Source organism: Homo sapiens, chromosome 7 (assembly GCF_000001405.40).
Source record: "Homo sapiens chromosome 7, GRCh38.p14 Primary Assembly".
In the NCBI taxonomy this organism is placed as follows: Eukaryota; Metazoa; Chordata; class Mammalia; order Primates; family Hominidae; genus Homo; species Homo sapiens.
In genome coordinates this window covers 90323724-90331199 of record NC_000007.14, presented here as the reverse complement: position 1 = coordinate 90331199, position 7476 = coordinate 90323724, and positions in this window count along the sequence as shown.

Genomic DNA, 7476 nt, shown 5'->3' with positions numbered 1-7476 from the left:
AGTGGCACAATCTCAGCTCACTGCAACCTCTGCCTCCCAGGTTCAAGCAATTCTCGTGCCTCAGACTCCTGAGTAGATGGGATTACGGGTGCACACCATCACGCACGGGTAATTTTTGTATTTTTAGTAGAGACGGGGTTTCACCATGTTAGCCAGGCTGGTCTCGACCTGCGGCACTAATTTTCTGTCAAAACAGAGACCTCTCAAACTAGTTATATTTCTAGATAAATTTTAGATATTCCAGAAGATCCAGAATCAACTCTAATACAACACATCCTAAATCAAATTCATTCTCCCCTAATCATCTTCCTTTCGATCTTTCATATTTGTCAATGACACTCCATAAGCAGGTATGCTGAAAGCACTCGTTCTTTTTTGTTCTCGCTCCATCTCATATCAATGCGATAAATCACCATGTTTTATCTTTCTTTTTTTTTTTTTTTTTTTTTTTTTTGAGACAGAGTCTCGCTCTGTCTCCATGCTGGAGTGTAGTGGCGCAATCTGGGCTCACTGCAACCCCCGCCTCCCGGTTCAAGCGATTCTCCTGCCTCAGCCTCCTGAGTAGCTGGGACTACAGGCGTGCACCCACCATGCCCAGCTAATTTTTGTATTTTTAGTAGAGACGGGATTTCACCTTGTTGGCCAGGATGGTCTTGATCTCTTGACCTTGTGATCCATCTGCCTCGGCCTCCCAAAGTGCTGGGATTACAGGTGTGAGCCACCGCACCCGACCTATGTTTTATCTTTCTATCTTTGAAATATGTCATTTCTGTCATTGTTCTAAATGTTTTATTATGCATTATTTGATAATAGAAAAATATATATTCTAACAGATATATCCTATACATGTTATATATATTCTAAATATTCTAACATATATAGTTAGAAACCATAGGCGTAAGAAGACTAGTGAAATCACTGTCTGTAAAGACACTCTATAAATTCTTTCCAGATCTTGTTTCCTCATATATCTAAACATAACCACTCTCCTGAATTTGTGTGAATTACTTCCTTACTATTAAAACTGCTTTATCAAATGTATGTATTTGTAAAGAAAGAATATATGGTTTAATTTTGCTTGTCTTTGAACTTCATAAAAATGATATATTCAGCAATCCATTTTTTAAAATCTGTAACTCATATAGCTGTAGTCTATTCCTTTTCACTGTCAAATAACAACTTGCAATGTTGGATATACCACAGTTAATTTATCTATTATGTTAGTGATCATTTTGATTTTTTCCATGTTTTTGCTTTTGTGAACAATGCTACCATGAATATTCCGTTTTAGGGTATGTTTCTTGTCACCTATTTGCAAGAATTTCTTCAAGATATATTCCTGGGATTGAAAAACTTATTGCAAGTTACATACTTGTTCAGACTTAGAAGATGGTGCCAGTTTGTGTTCTAGACTGATTGTACCAATTTATGCTCCTCCTAGCACTATGCAAGAGTCCTACTGCCTCATGTGATGGTTAGTTATATGTAACAACTTGACTGGCCATGGGGTACCCAGATATTTGTTTAAATATTATTTCTGGGTGTGTCTGTGAGTGTGTTGCTGGATGATACTAGCATTTGAATTGGCAGGCTGAATAAAGCAGATTGCCCTCCCCATCAGCCAATTCATTGTATAGGCATCATCCAGTTCACTCAAGGCGTGAATAGAACAAAAAGGTGGAGGAAGGGAGAATTTACTGATTCTTCCTGACTGATTGAGCTGAGACATTAGTCTTCTGCTCTCACACTAGAACTTAACACCATTGGCTCTCCGGGTTCTCAAGCTTTTAGGCCTAGACTTGAACTTACACTGTCAGCTTTCCTCGTTTTAAGGCCTTTGGACTCAGGCTGGAACTATACCACTGACTTTCCTAAGTCTCTAGCTTGCAGATGGCAGATTGTGGGGCTTCTCAGCCTCCATAATCACATGAACCAATTTTTTATAATACATCTCTTCATATATATATATATATATATATATATATATCTTTATATAAAATATAATATATACATATGTTAGCTAGATCCTATTGGTTCTGTTTCTTTGGAGAACCCTGACTAACATTCTTCATATGTTCACCAACACTTGACACTTGATATTTTTTAAGTCGGAGTCTCACGTCACCCAGGCTGGAGTGCAGTGGTGGGATCATAGCTCACTGGAACCTCAAACTCTTGAGCTCAAGTGATCTGCCCACCTCAGCCTCCCAAGTAGCTGGAACTACAGGCACATGGCACCATACTCAACCCAGTTAAAAAAAATTGTGGAGTAGGGGCCTTTCCAAGGATAGTCTTGAACTCCTAGCCTCAAGTGATCTTCCTGCCTTTGTGTCCCAAAGCACTAGGATTACGGGCATAAGCCACCACACCCAGTCTCCAACACTTGATATTGTCAGACTTCTTAATGTTTGACCTGATGGGTACAAGTGCACATCTCATGGCCCCACTATGTTGCCCAGGTTGTTCTTGAACTCCTGGGCTCATATAATCCTCTTGCCTTAGCCTCCCCAAATGTTGGGATTACAGGCATGAGTCACTGAATCTGGCCTTCTTTAGGAGAATTTTAGCTATCTTAGGCCTTTGCTTTACCATATAACCCCCTAGAGTCACATTTTCATTAACCCTATTGCACTTTCCTGCCTGCAATTAAATAATGAATATGTGTGTGTATTTATTCATTATTTATGTTTCCTAATCTATGAAATGCCTCTTTATGCCTATTGCCCAGATTTCTATTATTGTGTTTATCTTTTTCTTGATTCGATGGAAGTGTCTTCTATCTTGGCTCTTAATCCTAATTCATTTGTGATTATAAGTGCTGAATATATCTTCTCTCAGAATATAATTATTTTTTATCTTTATAGTGTCTCGTGATTAACAGGACATTAATTTTAATGCAGTCAAATGTATTAATTATCCTTTTATGGTCAGCACTATTTGTGTCTGGTGTAAGAAGTCCTTCTCAACCCCAAGATCAGAAAGATATTCTTCTGATGTTCTTTTTAAAGTACAAATGCTTTGCTTTTCATATTTAAATTAATAATATACCTGGGATTGATTTTTATGATGGTATAACGTAGGAATCTAATTTCGTTTTCCATATGGGTAACCAGTTTTCCCAGCTTTATTTATTGAAAATCCACTGTTCTAATGAGAACATTTGGACACAGGGTGGGGAACATCACACACCAGGGCCTGTCGTGGGGTGGGGGGAGGGGAGAGGGATAGCATTAGGAGATATACCTAATGTAAATGACGAGTTAATGGGTGCAGCACACCAACATGGCACATGTATACATATGTAACAAACCTGCACACGTACCTTAGAACTTAAAGTATAATTAAAAAAAAAAAGAAAATCCCATGTTGTTTTACACATTTCTATAAATGGATAGGTTTATTTTTAGGGTCTGTAATCTGGTCCATTGTTTAATTTCTTTATTCCTGAGCCAATAACCTCCCGTTTAATAACTAGTGAGTACCCTGCTCCTTACTGTTCTTCTTCAGGATAATTTTTTTTTTTTTTTGAGACAGGGTTTCACTCTGTTGCCCAGGCTGGCATGCAGTGGTATGATCATGGCTCACTGTAGCCTCAACCTCCCTGACTCAAGTGATCCTCCCACCTCAGCCTCTCAAGTAGCTGGGACTACAGGCATACACCACCATGCCTGGCTAATTTTTAAAATTTTTTGTAGCAACTAAGTCCTACTATGTTGCCCAGGTTGGTCTGGAACTCCTGGGCTCAAGCAATCCTCTTGCTTTGGCCTCCTCACATGCTGGGATTACAGGCATAAGCCACTGTGCCTGGCCTTCTTTAGGAGAATTTTGGCTGTCTTGAGCCTTTGCTTTACCATGTAACTTTTAGCATCACATTTTCATTAACCCTGTTGTGATTTTGATTGAAAATGCATATATTACTTTGGGCAGATGATATCTTTATAGATCATATATTAGCATTATTTTTATTTAGATTGTCTTTTATGTCTTTCAATAAAAATTTTAAAAATCTCCACTTAGAATTCATTTACCTATGTTAAATTTATTCCTAGTTACCTTATACATCTTACTGCTATTGTAAATGGCATCTCTTTTCTAATTTATATGTTCTGGTCTTTTGCTCGTATATAGTTGATGCAGTAGATTTTGTAGATTGATCTTATATTCAACCACTTAACAAAACTTGTTAATTTGTCAGTATAATTTATGTTATTATTATTTCTAAGCAAATGATTCCACATAGCATGCTGTGCTAGGCACTATTCAGAACACTAAATATTTATCACAACAGCCCTTTTAAGCAGGGTCATTTTTCATCTCCATTTTACTCACAAGGAAATTAACCACAAAGAGATTAAATCATTAGCTCAAAGCCACAAATTACCATCTGAACACAGAAGGGAGGACTTAAACCCAGGCAGTTGATTTCTAAGCTCCATGCTCACCAAGAGCTTTGCTGCCTCTCTGCTAGGCTATCCAGTTGTGATCCTTCCCTTTCCTTCCCTGCCCTGCCCGGCCCTCCCCTCCCCTCCCCTCCCTTTCCCTCCCCTCCCCTCCCCTTCATTCCCCTCCCCTCCTTTCCCTTCCTTCCCTCTCTCTTTCTCTTTTTCTCTCTTTCTTTTCCTTATACCACTCCCCACTTTTTTCTAACCCTTTCTTTGCAGGTATTATTTTAAATGTTAGCAGAGATGATGCACATCTTTTCTCGCTCCTAAATTAAAAGAGAATTATTTTAGTATTTTACCATAAGAAAGATGTTTGCTGTAGGGTTCTAGTGGATAACATTTATGAGGTTAAGAAAATTTTGTCTAGTCTTAGTTTGCTAAGAGTTGTTTTTGCTTTTTAATCATGAATGGGTGTTGAATTTTATCAATTTATTTTCTTTTAATTTAAAAAAAATTTTTTTTGAGACAGAGTCTCACTCTGTCACCTAGGCTAGAGTGCAATGGCGTGATCTTAGCTCACTGCAACCTCTACCTTCTGGACTCAAGTGATTCTCCCTCTTCAGCCTCTCAAGTAGCTGGGACTATAGGCGTGTGCCACTGTGCCTGGCTAATTTTTGTATTTTTTTGTAGAGACAGGTTTTTGCCATGTTGCCCAGGCTGGTCTCGAACTCGTGAACTCAAGCAATTTGCCCTCCTTGGCCTCCCAAAGTGCTAGGATTACAGGCATGAGCCACCGTGCCCAGCCTCCCATTTAATTTGTGTACATGGTAAATATAGTCATTGATTTTAATATGTTAAACCAATAGTCCCTAACCTTTTTGGCACTGGGGACCAGTTTTGTGGAGGACAAGTTTTCCACAGATGGGGTGGGTGGGGAGGGCAGGGAGGGATGTTTTGGGATGAAACTTTTTCACTTCAGATCATCAGGCGTTAGATTCTCATAAGGAGCAGCAACCTATATCCCTTGCATGTGCAGTTCACACTAAGGTTCACGCTCCTATGAGAATAATGCTGCTGCTGATCTGACAGGAGGCAAAGCTCAGGTGATAATGCTTGCTGGCCCACAGCTCACCTTCTGCTGTACGGCTGGGTCCTTAACAGACCACAGACTGGTACCAATCTACGGCCTGGGCCCCCCTGTGTTAAACTACCCGTGCATCCCTAGGATAATCCAAGCTTGATACTGCTGGGTTTTTTCTAAGTCCTACTGAATTTGGTATGTCAATATTTTGTTTAGAATTTATTTTTATCTGTAATCATTAGTAAGATGGCCTGTGACTTTACTCTTTTTCAGATCGTCCTTGTCTCATTTTGTTAGAATGAGTCTGGGAGATTTCCTTCTTTTCTAATTTTCAGGAAGTACTTGATCCTTGAAAGTTGCCCTGCAAAATCATATGGGCTTGATTTTTTTTTTCCCAGTGGGAAGATTTTAAACTACTTATTCAAGGTCTTTAAACAGCATTTACTATTCTGGCTTTGTAGTTATTCTTACATGACTGTTATAGATTTTTTTCTTTTTTCTTTTTATTTTCCATAGTCTTTCTTTGTCGCCCAGGCTAGAGTGCAGTGGTGCGATCTCGGCTCACTGCAGCCTCCGTCTCCTGGTTTCCACCGATTCTCCTGCCGCAGCCTTCTGGGCAGTTGGGATTACAGGCACGCGCCACCATGCCTGGCTAATTTTTGTATTTTTAGTAGAGATGGGTTTTCGCCATGTTCACCAGGCTGGTCTCGAACTTTGGACCTCAGGTGATCCACCTGCCTCAGCCTCCCAAAGTGCTAGGATTATAGGCGTGAGCCACTGCGCCTGGCCAAGTTTTATAGATATTTTTTCTAGGAATTTATTAATTTAATTTAAAATTTCAAATATATGGTATATGTTGGTTGTTAGTATTCGTGTATCTAGTTTTAATCTTTATTTGCTATCTATAGATATATATCATTTTCTACCTTTCATTTTCTTTCTTGATCAGCCTCATCAGAGGTTGCTTTATTTTATTCAAAGAATCAACTCTTTTTGCCTTAGTTCACTAATGTGTGTTTTTGTAAAATCTCTTAACTTTTGAGAGCCTTTTTTCTGCTATTTTACCAGCTGTTAAATTTGGTTGCATTTATCACTCTATCAGATTTTCAGCCTCTCTTCTTTTGGCACAAGTGTTTAAAGCTGTTAATTTCCTTTAAAGGATCCTCTTACTGGCTTCTCACAAGTTTTGATATGCAATGTTTTTTAATCACACAGTTTGAAATATTTTATAATTTCCATTGTATTTTATTTTAAAATCGATTGTTTAAAGTTATTGCATAAATAAGTACATTTATTGTTTAAATTTCAAAACATGAAAAACTACGTTCTTGTTTTTATATTTCTTAAAACACTTTTTAGACTTTTAAACTTTCTGTGTTGTGGTCAGGCAACGAAGTTTGAGTGATACTAGTTTTTGAAATTTGTTGAGACTTGCTTTAAATTTCATGAGACTTTATTTTTTCTTTTATTTTATTATTATTATACTTTAAGTTTTAGGGTACATGTGCACAACATGCAGGTTTGTTACATATGTATACATGTGCCATGTTGGTGTGCTGCACCCGAGACTTGCTTTATTTTCTAATGGGAGGAATGTGTTCTTTAACTGCAAGTTTCATGGTTCCTTATAACTTGACGGTTCAAATCATCTACACATTTAGTATTATTTATCATCTTAACCTAAAGGCTTGTGGAACTCTCCCACTATGATAGTGAGTTTGTGAAAATTTCCCTCTACTTCTGTCAGTTTTTGTTTTATGTATTCTGTAGCTTCGTTATTAGGTATATCTAAATTTAGAATATTTTTATCTTCTTCCTGAATTGAGTCTTTTATCATTATGTAGTGTTCCCCTTTCTCCTTCATCGTGCTTTTTTGTATTAATAAAGCTGTCAGTTTAAAATACAATTAACATGTGCATGGTATATTTGTTTCCATTCTTTTCAAGTTTCTCTGTCCTCATTTTGGGTGTGTGTATCTTTTGTAAAAGCACATAGCAGAATTTAAAATCCAAC